The 25,684-nt window shown below is 47.6% G+C and overlaps 1 protein-coding gene across 7 annotated transcripts in view, besides 1 other annotated feature; it reads right to left on the reverse strand.

Annotated features, from left to right (window-relative positions):
* ENTREP2 (endosomal transmembrane epsin interactor 2) overlaps positions 1-25,684 on the reverse strand; it is a 557,698-nt gene that overhangs the window by 331,426 nt on the left and 200,588 nt on the right. The gene's annotated exons all lie outside the window — the stretch shown is intronic.
* Positions 115-315: a silencer, noted in NCBI's record as "peak2283 fragment used in MPRA reporter construct". NCBI's record gives its function as "represses an SCP1 promoter by STARR-seq MPRAs in K562 erythroleukemia cells {active_cell/tissue: K562}" and the evidence as "EXISTENCE:reporter gene assay evidence [ECO:0000049][PMID:32103011]".

Below are 25,684 nucleotides of genomic sequence, written 5' to 3' on the forward strand. Positions count from 1 at the left end.
AGACTCAGCTTTTCCCTTAATCAGGGAAACTGACCTAATGAGAACAGAGGGGTCTCTGTGAAGCTGCCAAGCTCAAAGGAGGCAAGGCAGCATAAAGAGACATCTGAAGGCAGGTGTGACATCCAAACTAGGAGAAGCTCAGAGAAAGAAGCAACCAGGGACAGGACAACCTCCATGAAACGATGTGTTTGAGCTGAGGTGCTGGCCATGGTGCTGACAGGGGTCAGCTTGGGGAGGCCCAGGGAGGTGGAAGATGAAGGCTTGATCACTGACTGGATAGAAAGACAGGGACAGGAAGAAGAAGGAGCTTGGCAGGTGAAGTGCAGGCACAAATACCTACCCTTCTCTGCTTTCGGAATGTGATGAATGTGAATGATCACCCTTTATGTCCTTTATAGGACAAAAACCTCAGCAGAATAAATAACCAACATGTTAGTCACACTAAAGAACCACTCTGAAGCACAGAAGAATAAGCAGAGTAAGATGAACAAGACAAAAACTTTAATATTAAAGAAGAAAATAGAAGTTTGTTACAACAAAATTACACCAAACTTGTTAACAGAACAATGTGGCAGCTTAAGACTCAAGACTTTATTTTTCTCATCCTCAAAGGTCCACTTCATGGTTTTAATTAGACAAACATTTTGTAGAGTACTATAATTCTCTATCTTTTAAATACACATTCACATTATGGTGAAATTGGGAAATCCTAATATTTACTTGTATTAAGAAGTGTTTAAGCAGTCCCTTTCCTCTACAAACTCACCGGTACCTGTTGTTTTTTGACTTTTTAATAGAAGCCATTCTGACTGGTGTGATATGGTATTTCATTGTGCTTTTGATTTGCATTTCTCTAATGATAAGTGATATTGAGCATTTTTTCATAGGCTTGTTGACTGCACGTATGTCTTTGGAAAAGTGTCTGTTCATGTCCTTTGCCCACTTTTTAATGAGTTTCTTAGTTTTTTGCTTGTACATTTGTTTAAGTTCCTTGTAGATTCTGAATATTGGACCTTTGTCAGATGCATAGTTTGCAAATATTTTCTCCCATCCTGTAGGCTGCCTGTTTTCTCTATTGATAGTTTCTTTTCTGTGCAGAAGCTCCTTAATTATGTACCATTTGTCAATTTTTGCTTTTGGTGGTGTTGTCATGAAATCTTTGCCAGTTTCCATGTCCAAAATGGTATTTCCTGGGTTATCTTCCAGGGTTTTTATAGTTTTGGGTTTTTACATTTTAGTCCTTAATCCATCTTCAGTTGATTTTTGTATATGGTGAAGGGAACGGGCCCAGTTTCAGTCTTCTGCCTATGGTTAGCCAGCTATCCCGGCACCATTTATTGAATAGGGAGCCCTTTCCCCACTGCTTGCTTTGCAGGTGGGGGTGTAAATTAGTTCAATCATTGTGGAAAGCAGTGTGGCAATTCCTCAAAGAGCTAAAAACAGAATTACCATTCAGCCCAGCAATCCTAGTACTGAGGATAAACCCAAAGGAATATAAATCATTCTATCATAAAGACACATGCATGCATATGCTCTCTGCAACACTATTCACAATAGCAAAGACACTGAATCAACCTAAATGCCCATCAATGGTAGACTGGGTAAAGAAAATGTGGTACATATACATCATGGAATATGATGCGGCCATTAAAAAGAATGATGTTCCTGCAAAGGAACATAGATGGCCATTATCCTTAGCAAATTAATGCAGGAACAGAAAACCAAATACTGCATGTTCTCACTTAAAAGCGGGAGCTAAACAATGAGTACACATGGACAGAAAGAGGGGAACAACAGACTCTGGGGCCTACTTGAGAGAAGAGGGTGGGAGGAGAGAGAGATTCAGGAAAAAAAAAAACTGTTGGGTACTATGCTTAGTACTCAGGTGAGGAAATAATCTGTACACCAAACCCCCAAGTCACGAATTTACCTGTATAACAAACCTGCACTGAACCTAAAATAAAGGTTAAAAAAAAAGAAGTGTTAACAGCTCCAAATAAGTAAGAGTAACTGTCCACTCCCTGCAGTTGTTCCCACTGAGCCTCTGGTGGCCCCACCCCAATCCCTATGGGGTCTAGAAAGAGTGCCCCGGTCTCCCTGGTCCTTCGCTGATGATGGGGGGTGGCAGCTCTCTGGCCGGCCCTCGGCCCTCGGCCCTCGCCTCTCGCCTGTTAGGTACCCTGGACTTCTCCACATCCTTCCCCACCCCTTCTCGCCTCTCCCACAGGAGTCTGCAGGACCAGGCCAGCAGGTGGCTCAGCTGAGCATCTGCAGACACAGCACACCGACCCCACAGAGAAAAGGCACTCCCAGACCACTGTCACAGAGAGCTCATGTCGGGGGCGCGAGGGGCTGAGAGGGGCCAGTCACAAGTCAGGCAAGTCCATACAGGGACACAGAGAGCAGGCAGAGGTCAGGGCAGCTGTGGATGACTCGGGGCGTGACTGAAATGCATGAAAGGATGGTTCAAGAACAGCCCAGCAGCTCCCCTCTGCCCACCACGGGAGGGTCTTCACTATCAGTGAGGAATTAAGACTGCAGGCAGCGAAGCCCCCTCCCCACCGGAACCTTGCAGGGCTCCCTCGAGGGGCCACCACTCCTATCACAGCCACTGTCCTGCTCATCCCAGTGACCTTAGGGGCCCCACCCCCCTGCAAGTCCTGCTCACTGGCAAGCCTAGCTTGGAGGCAACGCTCGGGGCAAAGCCAGAGGGTCCTCCCCAGGCCTTCTGTGCAGACCTCTGCGAAGAATCCTGCTCAGCAGTAGATATTTATTGTATTTTAATATCAGGGCCAAAAGCTACAGTTCGCTTTTCAGTTAAGTAAATGTGTATTCACTAAAGGGTTTTAAAACCTTTTTCCTGAAAAAAATGTTCTAGACCATCAAATGCCTTTTTATATTGTTAACTTTTACTCATTTAAAATGCATGTTTTCTAAGCCACATTTTACACACTTTTCTATATAGACAACTCTCAATTAATTCCCTAAGCCAAACCCAGAAATGTTTAACACACACTTTATTGACACTAAGGCACAAATGATGAGTGGCCTCTAGTGTTACCCACAACCATCTGCTTTCTCAGCAGCACTGGCACCTGGTGCTGACAGCCCCTCACCCACCCCCATCTCCCATTCCCCATCCCAGAGCAGGCAAGAGGGGAAGTGGATATTGGGAATCCTGAGAGAGCAGGGATTTGGGGCAAGCAGTAACCAGAGAAGGGAAGCCATAGCCCTTCACCCTCGTCAGCTCCCAGAAGCCTCTGAAACACCAGGAAGGAGGCCTCATGCCACATGGTATGGAATGGGGCTCAACTAATGTGATGTGGCGAATAAGCAGAACACGGGCTGCTTGGCTGTTTCATCTGCTTCTGTTTTCTTGGTAGTATCTGGCCTATCAGAGACAATTATACCACACCACAGTCACAGTCCTACCTGCCTCTGAGTCCTAAGTGCAGATTCTTAAGAAGAACAGACGGGAATCCTTTAGCGTCACAGGGTAGGTGTGAGTCTGCGCTCCAGGCTCCAGAGATGCTTCTGCAAGCATGCTGCCCAAATCCACGTCTTTTCTGCTACTGGGAGCTCTCTCATCTTTAAAATACAGAATGCATTTCTCATATCTGAAGGAATATATTTAACTGGTGTCTCAACATAACACTTAAAGCAAAACCCAAAAGCAGAGGGTGGGGGGTTGGGGGGAGTAAAGAGCAGCCATATCCCAGTGGAGGGGCAGGAGGAAGAGAAAGAAGGCCTCAGGAGACCTGGTCAGGCCGGCTGAGCGGCAGGGGATGCAGGACAAGCAGGCAGAAATGAGTGGAAAAGCTGAGAGAGGCCGAGAGGAAATTAAACCGGAGGAGGCAGAGCCAAGTAACGAGCAAACATGAAAGGAAATGCCTCCCTGCTTCCTGCCCTTTCTAAAATCACCTCGAGGCAACTGACCACAAATAGTCTTCTATCACAATAAAAAAGGAGATCAGAAATTTCCCGGCTGTTTAGTGGCCTGCCAATGCCACACCACAGTCACCGGCCTTCACTGAACACCCCGGTGCAGGGGGAGAGAATGTAATAACTTCTTAAGAATCTGCACTTAAGCCTCAGAGGCCGGTAGGACTGTTACTGTGGTGCAGTGATCACGGTGCTGCAAGGCACGGCAGGACAATTTCACAGCCCTGTCCTGGAAGTGGCGGAGGGGAGGAGGACTGTGCCTCACAAGCAGTGTACTAACCCAGGGATGAAAAGCACACATTTACTTAACTGAAAAGTGAACTGTAGCTTTTGGCCCTGATATTAAAATACAATAAATATCTACTGCTGAGCAGGATTCTTCGCAGAGGTCTGCACAGAAGGCCTGGGGAGGACCTGCTAGCTTTGCCCCAGCAAATACAGAGCATAGACACCCCCACCGGCCAGAGTGCCCTGGGCTGGGCTGCACACTTCCTGTTGATTTCTTGTCCAATTATCTCAATAATACATCCTCAAGGAAGGAAGTGGAGAACACACAGAAAAGAAGAAAAGAAATAACGTATATCACCACCAGGAAATAACCACTGCTGCTAATATTTTGATGTGTTTCCAATCAGACTTTTTTTTTGTACATGCACATTGTACAAAATTGGAATCCTACTGTATAGCAGGAATCTTGCTGTGTTCATTTAAAATAACATGAGACCTTCTCCAGGCCACTGAATATTCTTTGAAAGCACGGTTTTAATGGCCACAGAATCTGGGAATGACATAGTATAACCACCCTGCTATTATTAAGATATTCAAGCTGCATCCAATTTTCAACTATGATAAGTAAAGCTTCAGTGAGTCTCTTTACATACAAATGATACTGACATCTCCGATTTTAATATAAACCCTTAGAAAGAGGATGATTGAGTCAAAGGTCACAAACACTTCTTTTCCAGAAGGTTCCATCACTTGACATTTCCTCCACTGGAGTATGAGAGTATTCATCCTCCAGCACTCACCCATACTGAGAATAATTATGAGACTGCACCAGTTTGGTGGACCCAAAAACAAAAAAGAATTTTTTAAATTTGCATTTCTCTGATTACTTGTGAGGTTTGGTACTTTTCTATTTGCCTTTTATTTTTCTTCAGTGACTTGCCAACTAGAGTCCACTGCAGATTTTTTCCATTTGATGTTAATGTTTTCTTATTGATTTATGACTGCTTTTAGTATAATAGGGATGGATTGGCAGGTGGACAGCGTATGTCCTGATTTACCAATTCTGTTGATGCTGTTTGACACACACAGGATGCTAATGGATGTGTGGTCAATTGTATCAATCTTTCCCCTTATTATGACTTCCATTGCAAGTAGAGTGTCATGGCCCTTCAGCCTGGGATCCAGACTCAGCTCCCCCACTCACTATCTCAGTGACCCTCTCTTTGCCTCAATTTCCTTGATTGAACGTGCAGGATAATGAGAATGCATTTAATCCATATAGTTAGTATGTGGCACACAGCCTCAGAGATGGCCCCAATGCCCCCCACCTCCTATAATGGCATTCACATGTGATCCCTGCAGGTCCAGCCAGCAGGGGCCAGGGCCTGCGAACAGCCACGGAGTGAGCTTGGAGGTAGATACTCCCCAGTGGTCCCTGGAGATGACGCAGCTCCAGCCAACACTTAGTGAGATCCTCAGCCAGAGGCAACCTGCAAAGCTGTGCCAAGATTCCTGGCCCACAAAACTGGGAAGTAATACACATTCGTTGCTGTAAACTGCTACATTTAAGGGTGATTTGCTATGCAGCAGGAGATTACTAATGCATTATACACGTAAAGCACTTAGAACAGTGGCTGTGGCAGATCACACAAAAAAGGCCTAACACGTTGACAGTCCTCCCATGGAAAGAGGAAATCCGTCTCCACCTGGGGTAGCTCAGCTTGACTGTGTGATTTGCTCTGACCAATGGAGCTGTGGCAAACGTGAAGTCACCTACACACAGGAGCCTGCCTCTTACAACTCCTGAAACTCTGCTGTCTCCATGTGAAGAAGCCCAGCCTGCTGGGGGATGAGACTACAAAGCCCATCACCCCTGCTCACCCCAGTTTACAGGCAGCCATCCTGACAATGCAGCCCATCACCCCTGCCCGCCCCAGCTTACAGGCAAGCCATACTAACCATGTGAGGCCATCAATGCACGACCATGAATGAGCTCAGCAAAGAGAGCCACCCAGCCAAGCCCAGCCTGAATTTCCAACCCAAATCACCCACTGAGTAAGTAGTTGCTGGTAGAAGCCACTATGTTCTGGAATAGTTTGTTACACAGCATTTGATACCTAATACAGCTGCCATTATTACTACTATTATTGTCTTGGGATCAGTTACATGATCATACATATTTCTTAACAGTATATTTATGCTTTTACTTTTTAATCCATAGGAAACTTATTTTTGTGTATGATATTAGGTGAGGACCTAACAATGTTTTGCCACACAGCCAGTTCTCCCTTCTCCATAAAACTGCAACACCTTGTTTTCACATATTAGAATCCAGAGCAGGGGCTCCCAACCCCCAGGCCACCGACCAGTATCAGTCCATGGCCTGTTAGGAATCAGGCCGCACTGCAGGAGGTGAGCAGTGGGCAAGTGAGCGAAGCTTCATCTGTATTTACAGCTGCTCCCCACTGCTTGTGTTACCACCTGAGCTTTGCCTCCTGTCAGATCAGCAGCAGCAGCAGATTCTCATAGGAGCATGAACCCTATTGTAAACTGTGCATGTAAAGGATCTAGGTTGTGGCTCCTTATGAAAAGCTAATGCCTGATGATCCGTCACTATCTCCCATCATCCCCAGATGAAACTGTCCAGTTGCAGGAAAACAAGCTCAGGGCTCCCACTGATTCTACATTATGGTGAGTTGCATAATTATTTCATTATATAGTACAATGTAATAATAACAGAAATAAAGTGTACAATAAACGTAATGTGCTTGAATCATCCTGAAACCATCCCCACCCCCTCCCTGTCCATGGAAAAATTGTCTTCCATGAAACCAGTCCCTGGTGCCCAAAAGGCTGGAGACTGCTGATGTAGAGAATTTGGTGATATCATTTCCAGTGATCATTTCTATTGGTATAGTATTAATAGTAAATCTTGACCCAATACCATACAGCTGGTTTGTTTTCATTTTGTCAGGATAATACTGCATGTTCTTTCCACTGAGGCATGGCAGGAGAAATGCTCACTAATCTGACTGCATGGAAGAGGAGGGGTAGTGAAGTTGCTGGGGCAGGTGCAGGAGGAGAGGGAGAGCAGCAACATGAATCAAGAGACAGACACAGTCACAGTCACCAAAGGGATGGGGGTGACGTCAAGGCTATTTTTTGTCTGAAACAGAAACAAAACCTGCCCTAACTTTCTAAGTCAGTCGGCTGCCAAATTCCACAAGCTGATTCTGAGCAGGGCACTAGGCCCTGTGAAGGGGTTGGCAAGGTGCAAGGAGCATGTGGGACAGTGCCCCCTCCCAGGTGTTCACAGCCGCAGAGGGGAGACAGTGCCACCTACGAAACCCTGGAGAAAATATGTATAAACCAAGATGAACACAAATTAATATAATACAAATAATATAGAACGGAAGGAGAGCTTAGAAGCCCCACAGGTCAATCATGGATGGCTACTTGGAGGAAAGTTTTCAGATCCTGAGGAGTAAGATCAGCAAAGAGTGGTGTGTGCAAAGGCAGGAGGCTGGAACACATAATTCATGTGGACTCATCAGTTACTTGGTTAGCGTAAAAAGTCTATAAACAGGTACACTATGCAGTGAGGCTGATGAAGGCATAGGGGCCAATCTGATGGAAGATCTTCAGTGTTAGGTCTGGTCTTCAAGAGAAATGAGCAAACAATGTGTGTTTTTAGGTAATAAGAGTAGGAAACTACAGGTTGTGCACCTTCACAGGGCCCCGTGTTCTTGACACGGTTCTGTGACATATGCAGCATTCCCCAGTGGCTCCAGCAGAAGGAACTGCCTTCCCTAGAATTCTCAAAAAGGAGCACGACTTCCCAAAGGAAAGGAAGCACAGAAGCCGGCATGGTTCCCAGGGGAAGATGCCTGAGAGGCCAGCCGGACCCCAGCCCTCTCACACATCCAGTCGGAATGTCCCTGCCCCTGCCATCACTTGGTGCAGAGCAGGCATGGGCCAGCTAAGAAAATGACGTCTTTGCTTATTTTCAAATTGTACTGAATAACAGCTTTGAGCCTCAACGTTTAGAAATGAAAATACAAGCATGAGCAAGGTCCTAGTCTAAGGATCCATCCACAGCTCTCAGGAGAGCAACATCTTCTGTGTCCCTTGCAGAGTCTTCCATGGTGGGAAGGGGCTGCACTGTGCAGGAAGGCAGGCCCTGGCCCTGGTGCCTGCTGGAAAGGGGCATCACGAGAGACAGGTGCTCGGGGCAGAGGCTCAGCTGCAGTCACAGAAGCCCTGAGGCTTGGACAGAGCCTGTCCTGTCAGCGCTGGCACCCGCTGCCAGGGCCCAGTTATACTGCCTGTTCCTTTGGCTGTGTTAATGAGGGCCTAACTAGCAGTGGAGGCCTCACTTCCCCATCAGCATGAAGCTGCTAAGTGTCCCCCAAAACAGTCGAAAGTGTCACACGGGAGAGACACACTCGAGAGAAACTTCTGCTGCCCCTTGGGTTCCAGATTTGCAGTTTGATTTTGCTTGCCTCCATCAAGGACCACACGAACCCCAAATTCCAAATAAGAACACTGCAGGCCAGTGGGAACCTACTGCCTGTAGCCTGCAGGATGAGGCACGGCTTCCTCACACCCGAACCAAGAGGACCAGCTGTCTCAGCCCACAGAGCCCAGGCCTGGCAAGGAGCTGGAGCCTGTATGAGTCAGGCCTCTCCACAGAAACAAAACTGATAGGACACATATATCAGAGGAAATTCATTATGGGAATTGGCTCACACAATTACAGAAGCTGAGAAGTCTTATGATCTGCTCTCTGCAAGAGGAAGACCCAGGATAGCTAGCATGTCGGTCAGTCTGAGTCTAAAGGCCTGAGGACAGGGTCCAAAGGCCCAAGAACCAGGAGCACCGATGTCCGAAGGCAGGAGAAAATGAATGTCCCAACTCAAGTAGAGACAGCAAATTTGCCCTTCCTGTGCCTTTTTGATCTATCTGGGCCCTCCACAGATTGGAGGATGCATGCCCAAACTGGCAAGGGCAGATCTTCTTTCCTCAGTCTGCTGATTCAAATGTTTATCTCTTCCTGAAACACCCTCACAGACACTATCAGGAATAATGTTTTACCAGCACCCCTAGCCCAGGCAAACTGACACATAAAATTAACCATCGCAGAGCCACGGGCACGGTAGAGAAGGAAAGCAATCCTGAGCCCACCAAGCCCCCTACCCAATCCCTCCAGCTCTTCTCAAAGCCTCCCTGCCCCTCCTCCCAATTTTGGAGCTTCCGATCCCTGCCCTGGACTTGGAGGTGACCCAGGAGTGATGCACTAGAGATAAGCCAAGGTCATGGTCACGCCTCCTCTGGATCCTCAGTCGACCCAACTTCTCCAGCACCATAATGTCAAACAATCATAGCTAATAGTACATTTTTATATGAAAAAGGAGGATTCTCTGCTGAGGATAACACATGCTTGAACACAAACGTTTTTTTCTGGTTTGTACTCACGTTCACTTTCAGCAGAATACGTCTCCTCTGACTCTTCAGGAAACCATTCCCTTTCCTTAATGGGGTAGTATTTTTTCCACAGACTCCTTGGTACATTTTCTGTTTGCTTTCCCTCACACAAAGGAGACTTATCCAGAGCTAGGACTTGCTAATGGCAGGCGTGGATTCAGCAGGTGTCCGGTGCTGATTCCCACATGTTCCCAGGCGCAGAGCAAGAGGAACAGACCCAATCTCCAGGGCAGGCAAACTTCACCAGGCCAGCTGCCACACAGGGTTGACAAGGGATTGTTCTGCACCCACTGACTCTTTCTCCGACCCATCCAATCAACAGGGGTCCCAAGAAGCTAAGATTTCCATTATTTCCTGCTGCGGGGCTCAGCCAGCCTCCCGCACCACTCCATGCGTCCCCAGCCAGACTATCAGTCCTGGTCCTTCTGAGCAACCCAGCTGTTTCTTAAGAATGCAGTTTCAAAGAGACCTTCAAAGATGGGGTGCAAGGACAGTCATCTGGCCCATGGCCTGTGGAGAAGTGGCAGCTCTATGAAATCGTTGGTGTGACATTTCCTGGGAGGGTACATTTCCTGGGAGGAGAGATGAGTCCCATCATCTGCCCTGAGGACAGGCACTCTTCTCTAGGGAGCAATGTAAGCAAGGCCAGTTCCACCATCCTCATAGATTATTTCTCACCCTTACTGTAAGAGGTCCTCAATTCTCCAGTCTTCACAGGTACAGTAGTTTAATCAAACTAGGAGTTGTACATGATGTTATATAAAGATTATCGCCAACAGCCAGTTATTATCCCTAACTCCCTCAGAGACTAACTACACTGACATTGAGAAACGTTAGGTGACTCTGCAGGGTTGTAAGCCAGGAGGGAGTGAAGCCAAGGTTTGCATAGTGCCTTGGCCTTCTCCTGTGAGCCCCACATGCAGCACAAACTTGGCCCAGAAAGCCCATGGACTCCCTTCTCACACTCTATGTGGGGAATCCAACCTTTGGGAGGTGACTCTTCCATTAACACAGCTTCTAATTCAGTTAATTACTTGACTTGATAGGTTAGTTCCCTTTGTTACTACAAACACCACTACCTGCAAGCTATGGTAATATTATCATGCTTCATTAAAAGTTATCAAGTGATCTACTTTCTAATAGAGGTATAAACACCTAAACACAGCTATTTCAGGCCAGATGAGGTGGCTTACACCTGAAATCCTAGCATTTTTGGAGGCCAAGACAGGAGGGTTGCTTGAGATGAGAAGTTCAAGACCAGCCTGGGCAACACAGCAAGACCATGTCACAACAAAAAACATTTTTTTTTTAATAGCTGGGTGTGGTGGTGCACGCCTGTAGTCCCAGCTACTCAAGATGCTGAGGCAAGAGGATCCTGTGAGCCCAGGAGTTTGAGGCTGCAGTGAGCCACGATCGCACCACTGCCTTCCAGCCTGGGTGACAGAGCAAGACTCTATCTCTTAACAACAACAAAGACAGCTATTTCAGACTAAGCCTTTAACTTTAAAAATATGAAACAATGTATGTGTCAGTTACGATTCTTAAATCATTATGTCTGCCTGGGTGCGGTGGCTCATGCCTGTAATCCCGACACTCTGGAAGGCCAAGGTGGGTGGATCACCTTGAGGTCAGGAATTCGAGATCAGCCTGGCCAACATAGTGAAACCCCATCACTACTAAAAATACAAAAATTAGCCCGGCACGGTGGCGCGTGCCTGTATTCCCAGCTACTTGGGAGGCTGAGGCAGGAGAATCACTTGAGCCCGGAGGCGGAGGCTGCAGTGACCCGAGATTGTGCCACTGCACTCCAGCCTGGGCGACAGAGTGAGACTCTGTCTCAAAAAACAAAACAAAACAACAACAAGAAAAAACACAATTCTTAAATCATCACATCTAACTGGAGTCAAGTCATTAACACATTTGAGAAATTTAGCAATAACAAAAAGATTATTAGGATTCTTCTAAGCTAACAATTCTAAATTCTAACTACAAAACCAAATGTTCTGGCTTACCACAACAGAGAATAACATCCAAGCCACTATCACGTCTTTTCCAATTAGTAAGCCATTGGTGGTGTGAATAAAACCTAGAAGTCAATTTTCTACGAACTCTAGCAGGAAGAAAAGTGATTCAGCTTTACAGTTATCTTCTGACCTGTTTTTAGTCTTCATGTAACAAAAAGCTTGTCAAGTTACAATTTTCTTATAGTGCCTCACTATAGAACATTTATTCTATACAAATGGGATTTTCTCAAGACAATAACTACGGCATCAACACGAGGATGACTGTAAGACATCAATATTTTATCTATTTTCATGGATGTTGGACATGCCCAACACTATCCCATTTTGTAAATGTATTGCCTTGCTCTGTGTGATGTTTGTGATAAATGTAGTGTCACAGAAAGCCTCCATGACTGTTATTTCCCTTCATTTTATAAATGCCAAGTTTATTTAAACCTACTGTCACATGACTTTGTTAACCAAATACAACTGTTGAAACTGTTCTAAAACAATGCTTATATCAGTATCAACACACCAGAAAACATGAGTTGCTTCTCAAAAAAATTTCTGATGGCCCAAAATATCCCAATATTTTGCTCAAGAAAGGTAATTTTTCATTTGATGGTGTTGATTTTTATTATGATAAAATACACAGAAAATAAAATTTTCCATTTTCACCAGTTTTTTATTTTTTTATCATTTTTTGAGACGGAGTCTTGCTCTGTCGCCCAGGCTAGAGAGCAGTGGTGCGATCTTGGCTCACTGTAACCTCCGCCTTCCAGGTTCAAGCGATTCTCCTTACTCAGCCTCTCGAGTAGTACAGGTGTCTGCCACTGTGCCAGGCTAATTTTTGTACTTTTGGTAGAGCTGGGGTTTCACTATCTTGGCCCTGCTGGTCTGGAACTCTCGACCTTGTGATCCACCCGCTTCGGCCTCCCATAGTGCTGGGATTACAGGCATGAGCCACCGTGCCCGGCCATCATTTTCACCAGTTTTTAAGTGTATGGTTCAGCAGCATTGAGTACATTTACTGTGTTTGCAACCATCACCACCACCCATCTTCAGAACGTCTTCCAAGACTGAAACTCTGCACCCACTGAACAACTCCCCATTCCTCCCTAGCCCCGTCCCTGGCAACCACCATTCTATTTTCTGTCTCTGTGGGTTTGACTACTCTATGTCCCTCATATAAAGTGAAGTCATACAGTTATTCGTCCTTTTGTGACTGACTTATTTCACTCAGCACCATGTCAAGGTTCATCCATGGTGCAGCATGTGTCAGAATCTCCTTCCTTTTTAAGGCTGAGTAATGTTTCATGACAGGTGTAAACCACATTCTGTTTACCCATTCTTCCATCAATGGACGCTTGGGTTGCTTCCATGTTTTAGCTATTGTGAATCATGCTGCTATGAACATGGCTGTGCAAATATCTCTTTGAGCCTCTGCTTTCCATCCTTTGAGTATATACCCAGAAGTGGGATTGCTGGATCACATGGTAATTCTGTTTTAATTTTTTGAGGAACCACTACTCTCCTTTGTTCAGTGGCTCACACCTGTAATCCCAGCACTTTGGAAGGCTGAGGCGGGCAGATCACCTTGGGTCAGGAGTTTGAGACCAGCCTGGCTAACATGGTGAAACCCCGTTTCTACTAAAAATACAAAAAATTAGCCAGGTGTGGTGGGCCACACCTGTAATGCCAGCTACTCGGGAGGCTGAGGCAAGAGAATCACTTGAACCCAGGAGGTGGAGGTTGCAGTGAGCCAAGGTCGCACCACTGCAGTCCAGCTTAGGCAACAAGAGCGAAATTCGATCTCAAAACTAATAATAATAATAATAATACAATTAAATTCCTCAAGATGAAAAGTGGTGGCCAAGTGTCTGGTGTACTCTGCAAGTTCTGAGAATCACTAGGAGTCCCATCACAACCTTTTCAGCAAAGCAATATTCTCTCTGGGCATGACCCCTATGTCCAGAGGACAGTGTCAACCCAACCAGGCTCTGGGCAGGTGGCTGTAGCTTATCACAGAAAAAAGAAATCCCACCAGTGAGAACCCTCTACAATAAAATCAGAAACAGACTCCTAAGATATGTAGTTTCTACTCCTGTTGATAGTTTTTAAAAATAATGAAGGGTAGGAAGTTCCAGTTAATAGTGATAACTCGATCTTGTGCACCTACCTCTCTCCTGCCTCCTGAAACCTTGGACACACTCGGACAAGAAGATGAGGAGGTGCCTCCAGGGGCAGGAGAGTCCAACAGCCTTTTCAAAGCCTTAACATGGACATAGGAATGGCGACTGAGATGGCAGGTACATGGAGGGGGAGTGACGAGGCTCAGGCTGATTCCCCTGCAGAACTTAGGAGCCTGTGGGTTGGAGCCACTGGGGCCCCAGGAGGCAGGCTGCAGAGACACCCACCAGGCTGGAAACCAGGGGTTGGAAAGAAGGCTTGGCCCAGGCACTTCCACCTGTCTCATGAAGCACTGTGACCACACACCTCAGAGGATACTGAAACCCAGTCCCTGGAGAAAGTATCAGGAAAGGTTCAGCGGCCCAGGGCTGAGTTCAGCAACCGATCTTCACCAGGTCCAGGGGCTGCTTAGGGGATGGGAGTTTTCTAAAACTGGGCATGTGGCTGCACAATTATACAATGTATTAAAAAATCATTGAGCCGTAGATTTACAATAGGTGAATAGGACAGTCTGTAAATTATACAGCAGCAAAACTTTAAAAATGCACAGATGAGAGAGAGAGACGGAAGTAACCAAAATACCAAGGAACTATCAATGTGGCAAGTTTTTGATTTTTTTTTCCTGCTACCCAACAAAATATGAGTCTGAGAACAAGATAAGGTGAATTATTTTAAAAAATAAGAAATGATTTCCATGTGACACAGCAATTCCACTTCTGGGTACATACCCTAAATAACTGAAAGCAGGAGCTCTAACAGATATCTGTGCACCTATGTTCACAGCAGGATTACTCACAGTAGCTGCATGGTGGAAATAACATAAGTGTCCATCAATGGCAGAACAGATATACAAAATGTGGCACAGACACACCATGGAATATTATTTTGCTACAAAAAGGAGGGAAATATTGACACATGCTCCAACACGGATAAACCTTGAGGATGTTACGCTGAGTGAAATAAGCCAGCCATGAAACGACACATACTGCAAGATGCCACTCATATGAGTTGCCCAGAGTCATCAAATTCATTGAGATGGAAAGGAGAATAGGGGTTCCAGGGGCCGGGGAGAAGGGAGATCATGTTCAATGGGGACAGTTTTAGTTGAGGAAGAGGGAGTCTTCTGGAGATGGATTGCGGTGGTGGCTGCACAGCAATGAGAATGTACTTACTGCCACTGAACCGTACTCTTAAAAATGGCTAAGACGGTAAATGTTATGTTATAGATATTTCACCATGATACTAAAAAAAAAAGATAAGGAATGCTATTTTTGCACAGAAAAGAATAAAGAAAAGAAGGACAGCTGAGAAACGTGGAAGTGGGTGTCCCTGCAACTGGGGGCACCTGCACAGCATGGGGCAAGAACAGCCACTTTCATTACCAGCTTCTCAACACAATTTCACTTTGACTCTGTTATATACTAGACAGATTTTTAAGCATTAATTTTAAAACATGATGGAGAGTGGCGGAGATGAAGAGAAAATCAAATCATGGAAGCTACACACCAATAAGCCTGATGTCAATCACAGGCCAGATCTGAGAGGGGACTATCAGAGCAGAAGGCTCGTGAGTACTTCAGGAAGCAAGTGCCAGGCCAAATGCATCTTGATTTCTCTTTTAATAAGGTTATGAGATTGGCATATTAGAGAAATGCTGAGCAGATGAGGGCCTTTATTTCAGCAAGAAGTTAACACAGTCGCTCGTGGACCCTATGAAGAGGAGGCGATGTGGAGGGGCCCCCTGGGCAGGGGGCAGCGAGGCCGCTCATGGCACAACCTCGGAAACAGCAGGAGCAGTTGGTCCAGCCACAGAGCTCCGGCCCAGCCTGGATGCAGGACGGGGAACTTGTTTAAAACAGGCTGACACCATCGGGCCTGTACCCTCAGAGACGAGCCTCCCAATCAAGATGAGATCATCTCAACAGGCTGGAATGCTAACTTTTAAAGCGAACAGATGAATTTATCAGTCTTACAAATGTTCCGCAATTTGGTACCACAATTCATTAACTGCCATGAGCTGTAGGACACAGTGGAAAGGAAAAAAGCATGGGGCTTTAGAGGAGGAGCAGCCCCTTCACCTGAGGCAGTGACGATGCGGTTGGGAGCTGCCCAGGCCATAGTGGAAACCACCCAATGTCTGCCCCCGATATAACCCCCACTCAGCACTGGTGCCATGTCCAAAGTGACAAGATGCCCAGAAGCCACCAGATGAAAACTGGGTGACCAGCCTTCAAATGTGCAAGCAGAAAAAAGAGCTATGCAGGGAATGGGGTGCAGAAGTGGTTTTCTCCATTTGCAGAACTTCAATGTTGGAAGGGAAGTAAGGACATTTCTTGGTTCTCCAGGAAGAGCCAGGCAAACAGAATCATTGTCCAAAAATAGATTTGGCTCTAGTTAAAGCTGCCTGACAACTGAGCCACGTGACACTGCAAGCTCCCCATCCCCAGCTCAGGGAAACGGAGTGCCCACACATCAGAAATGCCACTGAAGGACTGTGCACTCTGCAGAGGATTGACTTAAGTGGACCATAAACACCTTCTGATACCCTACAGTAAAAGAGTAACAGTGATGAAAATAACAACTTCCATTTGCTAAGTCCTGACCGCAGCCAGGCAATCCTGGATGTACTCTAAAGGCTTCCTGACTCTGAGTCTTTGATTCTCAAATTGTATGGTCCATTATAAATACAATCAACAATCAAACCCCAACATAAAGATATTTAACATAAATCATTAGTTCTTTGGGATGACAGTTATAAATAATTTTTATAATTCTTTAAAAGGAAGAGTCTATCAAGTTTATAATAAAAATTGCCTAACACTAACATTTAATTAGTCCTAATACCTGACCGACTTCTTCTTTCGAGACATCAGGGTATACCTAACAATGTTCAGATTTGATAAGGTCTCGAGGAAGCAGGTAGCTCCTTTGTTTGTGGCCTGAGATCTGGCATTGCTGAAGCTAGATTGGGCCAGGCCTGGCTCTGCCAAATACTGATGAACTGCCAGGTTCATTCATTTATCCAACAAATATTTACTGAGTGCCAGTTATGTACCAGGTGCTGTTCTCTGTACCGGCAGAGAGGGCAACCAGCCCCTGAAGCTGGAAGCATATGGTTTGAGGATCAGGAAAACCAAGATGATGGCATGATGGAGCGAGGCATGAGTTCAGCAGGAAGGGCCAGTGAGAGCAGCTCCGAGCAACAGTGCCTCAAAGGGCAGGTTAAAGAAGAAAGGAGGGGAGAGCAAGAAAGCAGTGAGAGAGACTACACAAGAGAACAATGATGTCTGCTTTATGTTTCTGTCATGGTCACTCTGGCTGCTGGGTGGAGATGGTCAGCAGAGAAGCAGGAAAGACAGAAAAGAGACCAGCCAGCAAGGTAGACACTGCAGCCCCCAGGAGAGAGCCCAGGAGAGGACGCTGCAGCCCCCAGGGGAGGACACTGCTGCACCCAGGGGAGGGCCCAGGTGAGGATGCTGATGGCCCCAGGGGAGGGTCCAGGGGAGGATGCTGCAGCCCCCTGGGAAGAGCCGAGGAGAGGACGCTGCACCCCCAAGGGAGAGCCCAGGGGAGGATGCTGCAGCCCCCAGGGGAGAGCCCAGGGGAGGATGCTGCAGCCCCCAGGGTAGGGCCCAGGGGAGGATGCTGCAGCCCCCAGGGGAGGGCCCAGGGGAGGATGCTGCAGCCCCCAGGGGAGGGCCCGGGGAGGATGCTGATGGCCCCAGGGGAGGGCCCAGGGGTGGATGCTGCAGCCCCCAGGGGAGGGCCCAGGAGAGGACGCTGCAGCCCCCAGGAGAGGGCCCAGGAGAGGACGCTGCAGCCCCCAGGGGAGGGCCCAGGGGAGGATGCTGCAGCCCCCAGGGGAGGGCCCAGGGGAGGATGCTGCAGCCCCCAGGGAAGGGCCCAGGGGAAGATGCTGCAGCCCCCAGGGTAGGGCCCAGGGGAGGATGCTGCAGCCCCCAGGGGAGGGCCCAGGGGAGGATGCTGCAGCCCCCAGGGGAGGGCCCGGGGAGGATGCTGATGGCCCCAGGGGAGGGCCCAGGGGTGGATGCTGATGGCCCCAGGGGAGGGCCCAGGGGAGGATGCTGATGGCCCCAGGGGAGGGCCCAGGGGAGGATGCTGCAGCCCCCAAGTAAAACTGGAGCTCCTCCAGAGGAACAGCAGCAGGGGTGGAGGGAGGGAATCCAGCCTGGGTGTGTCCTGCGGCAAAGCGATGGGCAGGGCTAAAGGAAAAGGAGAAATCGAGATGCCTCTCAGGCTATTGGAGTGAACAATGGACAAGAAAGGAAGCCATGTTTTAAAGATGTGCTTAGGTAGTGTTCCACCCAAAGTTCAAATCCAAGTCACTGCCAAAATGCAAAATGCAAACTGCCAGACTTGTGGTCTGTTCATCTATCAGTAAACAGGGATGAATAAAGGCAGAACATGCCTGTTCCCTTCAGAAACTAAATGGCTAGAATAAAGTACTGTTCCATTTCCAGGGTGGCTCAGCTAAAACGCCAAGGAAACGGCCACCTGAGTGTTCGATGGGAACACAGTGTGAGATGCAGGTTAAGAGGATGCTTTTGAAGGCTGCAGTGCTTTGTGGTTGGGCTGTCCTAGTTATAGGCCCTTCCAAGGCTGTGTCAAAGAGATTCAATGCACAGAGACCACCCGGTGAAACTACCACATCCCCCTGCTTTCATCACATCACTCCTTAGAGGAACACACGTTACTCTGAGGAAGTTGAACATCCGTAGCCCAATTAAGACCATCTATGGCCAGGCACAGAAGGCAGTGTCCAGCTCTGTTCCCCTTCCAGACTGGCCTTTCTGCAGCATGACTTACCAGCCTTCAATCACACTCTGTTTCTGCTCCCCTGTGCCTAACTTGGGGTACCCACAACCCACTGCCCTTCTCTGTTATCCACTGGATGAAAGCCACCCAGCAATCATGGCTAGCTCCAGCTCTGCCCCTCCCTGAAGCCTCTTCTGATTGTTCCTGCCTCCAGATGCCAAACAAACCGCTGCCTAAAGACCTTGCACCACAGCACAAGGCTCACAGCTCTTTCTCCTGCAAGTGGATGGTACGTGCCGGACAGAAGACAAGCTGCTTGAAAGCAAGATCATCATGCATTGTTTTTATTCCCCCAAAGAACCTAGGACAGTGTTTCCAATACTGGGAGCACCCTCCTTCCAACAGTGATCGACTGTAAAGCCATAAATATTTCTAAATGTATACTGAACATAATTAAGAAATTCCAAGACAGCAAATATTCATTTTATAAGCTGGTTCTGGGGGTGGGATCTAACTTGCATCACTAGACCACCAATGGTACCTAAATGTGAATGATTAAGAAAAGACAGGCTGGGCATGGTGGCTCATGCCTGTAATCCTAGCACTTTGGGAGGCCAGGGTGGGCAGATCACTTGAGGTCCAGAGATCGAGACCAGCCTGGCGAACATAGTGAAACCTCGTCTCCACTAAAAATACAAAAATTAGGCGGGGTGGTGGCGCATGCCTGTAATCCCAGCTACTTGGGAGGCTGAGGCAGGCGAATCGCTTGAACCCAGGAGGCAGAGATTGCAGTGAGCCGAGATTGCCCCATTGTACTCCAGCCTGCGCAACGAGAGCAAAACTCCATCTCAAAAAAAAAAAAAAAAAGCAAGACAGATAATCCAAATGAACATTTGCAGGGTTGATTAAACTAATTAAATCTTTAATAGTGTCTGAAGTTGCTTTTCAATTATTAATTTGGATGCATTTTTGTTAAACTTCTGAATATGATTTTAAAATATAGTTCTAATCATTAGCCAACACATACATTTTTAACAATTATATGATAATTAAATCTGTTTTGAAACTGTTGAAAATTTTCTTATGTAACCCCAGTTTTCAGGGCTTCAAGCAACTGTGGAGCTACAAAAAAAATATATTAATATGATTTTTTAAAAAGTTCTTCCAACGTTAAGGTAACACACACAAAACCTGCACAAAGGCCACCAGAGCAGCCCCATGCAGCCAAATGCAGTGGCCTTTCTTCCCTAGGGCTCCGGCTTAGGATAAGGCTGGAAGAGCATCCGAGGTGGTTCCACCCCATCCCGATAGCCCCCTTCCAGAAATGCTGACACATGCAACATCCACCAATGGATGAACCTCGAGGACATGGTGCTGAGGGAAATACGCCAGTCACAGAGGACAAATCCTGCAAGATTCTGCTTCTTTTTTGTTTTGTTTTGTTTGTTTGTTTGTTTGAGACAGAGTTTCGCTCTGTCGCCCAGGCTGGAGTACAGTGGCGTGATCTGGGCTCACTGCAAGCTCCGCCTCTTGGGTTCAAGCAATTCTCCTGCCTCAGCCTCCTGGGTAGCTGGAATTACAGGCGCACGCCACCACGCCCAGCTAATTTTTGTATTTTTAGTAGAGACAGGGTTTCACCATGTTGGCCAGGCTGGTCTCGAACTACTGACCTCCAGTGATCCACCTGCCTTGGCCTCCCAAAGTGCTAGGATTACAGGCATGAGCCACCACTCCCAGCCGCATGACTGCACTTCTATGCAGTACCTGGAGTAGTCAGATTCACAGAGAAGTAGAGTGGTGGTTGCCATGGCGGGGGAGGGGAAATAGGGAGTTGGTGTTGAATGACTACAGAGTTTCAGCTTGGGAAGGTGAAAACGTTATAGAGATGGATGGTGGTGATGGCTGAGCAACAGTGTGAACGCACTCAATGCCACTGAGTTGTACACTTCAACATGGTTAAGAGGATCAGTTTCACATATGTGTATTTTACCACAATTAAACATTTTTTAATAAATTAATTTTTTTTAAAAAGCCTCCCTTCCAGCTCCAAAGGCTACCTTTGAGACAGCCTCCTGGAAGGGACCCAGCAGGTCCCCCGTAAGACTCTGATTAAAGTTGTAAACTGCCACCTCCATATTTCTATCTATAGTTGAATTTTCTTTACCACTAAAGAAGTACTTTTGTCTCCTTTTCCACATTCAGTGCCCCTGGGTCATCAAAAGTAAGAGCTAAAAGCACTGATTTTTTGACAAGCAAGCCACAGATTCAATATCATGTATGTTCAACACAGCCTTGAAAACCGCAGAATAGATTTCTTTAAATCACTAAAAGGAGCCTAAGACAAGATCAAAGAATGGATCCCAAATTAACTGAAAACCTTCACACACATACCACAGACAGTCACGGCGTGTGTGTGAACACGGGCAGGATCCAGCAAAGCCACTCAAGATTGGCAGAGGGGCTGCTCGGTGCCCCCCACTGCCACGTTTGTTCTATGTGTGGTTGAGCATCCGGAGGGTCCTGAGGCAGTGCCAGCCCACTGAGGTCACAGGTGAAGCCCACAGGTCCTGGGCCCTGCCAAGGGCTACAGGACACTCATCAATCAGCAGGTGAGAGTACATTTACCTGCTTCGTCTCGGGGAGCCTCCTGCCAGCTCCCTTGCAAACTTCATTCACCTCACGCCTCCCTCCTTCCTGCCAAGTTCACCTCTGTTGCAATCCAGGGCAGGCAAATACTCGTCACTCGGACAACCAGGGCCCATCCTTCACCGCGGCTGCCGCTACTAATCAACCATATGGTCTTTTCCAGGGAAGCCCAGACGCACTTCGAAATCCTTCCCAGTCCTACAAACGCTGCCGGAAGCCACAATCAACTGACAAGCACTGGCAGACAAGGTGATGCGTGTGACTCTTCCACAGCATCCTGACAGTGGCCAGCTCGGGGCTCATGAGCCTGAAGGACGCTCTGCCTTCAAGACGTCTGACATGAGACAGTCCCTCAAAGATATGCTAGCCCTGACAGTGAGCAGTTCCTCCTTGATTCTCTTCCTAGATTAATTTTTTGTTTAATTGGTAATTAATGTTCATTCCTTAATACCAAGTCACAATTAAAAATTGCTCAAGTCACAGTCATTTGACAAACGTCATGCCTTGTTTCACATTAGCAACCACTATTACAGGTGATCTCACTAGACCAACTCAAAATACTGGCTATGGCTCGAAGTGACTCTGCTAAGTAAACAGAGGTGGGGCATTGGAATCACTCCACATTTTCCTGCCGACTCCTGAATTCATTAAGCAGAGCTCAGCCCAATGCACTGGTTTTTTATAGTGCCCCACACAGCCCCAGAGGATCTAGGGGACATTGATGGTCCTGGGTGGGGAGTTGCTAAGTGGAGAGGGTTGTAATGCCTGGGCCCCACCTTCATCCAGATCAACTCCATTTTCACATACTGAGCTTCCTCATAAGATTTCATTGGTAGAAAAGGCTCCATCACTAAGAGTAAAAACGTTTCCCAACTGTTGGCTAATGCATTGTGCAGAGAGTGAATGTGCACATAGAAAAAGCTCCAAGAAGGACTTCTGACCACACAGCGGCCCCTCGAGCTGCAGGGGCAGCCAGCATGGACTGGGATGTGCTACAAATAGAAAGTGAGGGCACAGGTGGCTGAGAATAGGCACAGGAGAGAACAGAAAGACAAGCACAGAAAACAGAGAGACCCCGGGAGGCGCCGGGATAACAGAGAGGCAGAACAGCGGCTACAAAGTGGCAGGAAGGGCTGGCAGATCCCTAGGAATAAAGGGAGTAGCAAAGCTCCAAGCAAATGCTCACCAGAGCCCATATGCCCATCATAACCCACACGGCAGCACGGGGGCCAAGGGCCACAAAAGGCAATGCACGCATACACCGGGGTAATACGTAAGCCCCGCACCCGCCAGTAGGACAGCACACCTCTGGTGCAAAGGCCCTGGGTGTTTCTTTGAAAACAATTAGTCACACTGATCTACAACACATTGTTTCTCAATCTTTTTTCTACCTCATGCCTTCTTCTGAAAAAGAAGATTCTGAACAAGCTGCAGGCAGCCCACATGCACACGTGGAGATTTGGGGGCCCTGATCCAGCAGCCCCGGGAGAATCAGAACCTGCAGTCCACATGCACAACTCTCTGATTCAAGATCAATGCTGACAGTGGTCACCCAAGGAGGAGTGGCCCTGAGGGCTGGGGTGGAGCAGAGGGTGGAACACAGCAGCACGCGGTGGGGGCCCAGAAGGGCTGGGCCAAGCAACAGGGCAGTGGGCCCCCACAAGCTGGGGAGAGGAGCACCCCAAAACAATCTTCCCCCAAGAAATGCAAAGCAGGAATCATCATGAGGCCTCAATGTGCTCATGTTACAGAACAAAGCTCTCCTGATGGTGTTGCCTTTGTTACCTTGTCTCCAACTCTGGGGACGCTTAAATGCTGAAGCCAGGCCTGTCATGCAATTCACCCAGCATCAGCAGGGACAATTCAGGAAGAGGTGGCACCAGGAGGAAAACAGCTCTGGAAGGGCAGGTCTCGATAATCAAAACCCACCTTAAAAATGGCATCATGATGAACTGTTCAGACAAGGCAGCTCTGGCTTCAGTGTGTTAATATTAAATATTTTATACACACACACAACACACAACACACACACACACACACACACACACACACACACACACACACACATATAAATTTGAGACGGAGTCTCGCTCTGTTGCCCAGGCTGGAGTGCAATGGCGCAATCTCGGCTCACTGCAACCTCCGCCTCCTGGGTTCAAGCAATTCTCCTGCCTCAGCCTCCCAAGTAGCTGGGATTACAGGCTCCCCCCACCACGCCCAGCTAATTTTTGTATGTTTAGTAGAGATGAGGTTTCACCATGTTGGCCAGGCTGGTCTCTAACTCCTGACCTCATGTGATCCATCTGCCTTGGCCTCCCAAAGTGCTGAGATTACAGGTGTGAGCCACTGCACCCGGCCTATAATCAATTATATTATAAGTTATTTTATAAATTAGTGTAATAATACATGTGATATAAATACAAGAATCTCCCTTTTATCCATTTTTTAAAGATTTTAGGTTTAAGCATACAAGTACTTACATTTGACTACTAGAAAGAGAATAAAAAATAGATTGTAACTATCTGCTGAAGGATGACAAAACAGCCACTGGCTGGTCAGTACACTCAGTCACCAGAGAAGTCTTCAAAGTAGTCCCAAGAGGCCAGTTAGGAAGGGGGAAAGGAGGCAGGGTAGGTTCTTGAGGGTGGGGGAAGCAGGGGAGGGGCAGCTCACCAGCACTCACTGTACAGCTGGTTTACCTGTTGGACAGGACGGTGTTTTTCCAGCAATCTCACTTGGGAAAGAAGGAGGAGCAGGTGGCCCAGCTTCACCCTATGACAAGTGTGACTTTCTTGCAGCCACACCATACCCAGGCTGCTCCCACCCCCTCCTTTCCCCTCTCTGGCTACAGCTCTGACTAACCCGGGTAACCTGTCCCTGGGCAGCTGGAATGTGCCCTCTTCTATAGCTGAATGTTGGTGTCTCTTTTCCTGGAAAACCATAACACTTCCAACAAAATAAGGAGGCCACCGAGGGATGGTGGCAGCTGCAGTTCCCCCCATGTAGAGGATTCCCTGCGGCAATCCAGACCCAGCATGCCTGGATCTTCCAATTCTGCAAAAGAATTCAAAGTCCATTCTGTACTGTGAACTCTCCCAAGTTTTAAGTGTTATCAAATAAACATTTTTAAACACCGCATGAGCTAAAGAAAACATACCTGGGAGCGGAAGGCCACCTGTGGTCTTGGTTTTAGGACCTCTGAACAAAAAGATAGACTTCAGTGCTCAGGGTGAACAGAAAAATATGTTTTTGAAAGAAATAATAACTTGTCAGAAAGACGTCTACTCTATGTCACGTCAATACCAGGCACAGCAGCGAGGGACCATTGGACACCGGCTGTCCTCAGTTCAAGAAACCGCCTGAGGCTGCTGGCAAATTGACCTCAGGGCCCCGGCCGCAGCCACGGCCCCATCTCCCGGGCTGAATGCTGCTGCTCTAGCACTCATTCATGACAACGAGGACATCTCAAAGCTAGGAGGCCCCCGGAGGCTCCAGTTCAACAACATACCCAAGGTCACCCCGTGGGCCACGGCAGTCCGGACTCCCACATCAAGCTGGGCCTCCTGGAAGACAGCACTGAACCTAGCCATGGATTCTGCAGACAACCTTCAAACCCCCATCTACAGCCTTCAATAGCAAACCCTGAAGCACAGTGCGTGCTGCCCTACCCTATGACCTAGTTACAGACGGGCTTGCGACGGTTACTAGGAGTGAGAGCAGAGGCCCTCATTGTATAAAGACCAGTGCCCATCCTGCTACCTCACTGAAATGGAGGGAGAAAGCCTAAATCACCAAGTTTAGAGTTGGTGGGCGAGAAGAGAGGCTACCTACGGTTCAGGGAAACCAGCAAAGATAAGCCATCCAGGCTGGGGCGGGGGCCATCCCCACCCTACCCCAAGTCTCAGAAAGGCTGCGCCCGGCGTCAGGGCACCCCTCCTGGGTAGGGGCCCTGAGATGACAGTTCACACAGATCAGCCCTTCAGAAAACACTGTCATGCTTCTCAAACACATTAAAACACAAATGACTACGGTTCAGGTTCATGGTCAAGTCCAGTCCTTCCATCTCTCCCTGACAATCTATATGTCCTGGTCACTGCGTGGGGACTTAGGTACCTCCTTGGCCACACAGTTCAAGGTCATTTCTGTTGTTGTTTTTTTTTCCTTTGGAGACAGGGTCTCACTCCGTCACCCAGGCTGGAGTGCAGTGGTACAATCTTGGCTCATGGCAACCTCCGCCTCCCGGGTTCAAGTGATTCTCGTGCCTCAGCCTCCCAAGTAGCTGGGATTATAGACATGTACCACCACTCCCAGCTAATTTTTGTATCGTTAGAACAGACAGGGTTTCACCATGTTGGCCAGGCTGGTCTCGAACTCCTGACCTCAAGTGATTTACTCGCGCCTCAGCCTCCCGAAGT

Source organism: Homo sapiens, chromosome 15 (assembly GCF_000001405.40).
Source record: "Homo sapiens chromosome 15, GRCh38.p14 Primary Assembly".
Taxonomy (NCBI): Eukaryota; Metazoa; Chordata; class Mammalia; order Primates; family Hominidae; genus Homo; species Homo sapiens.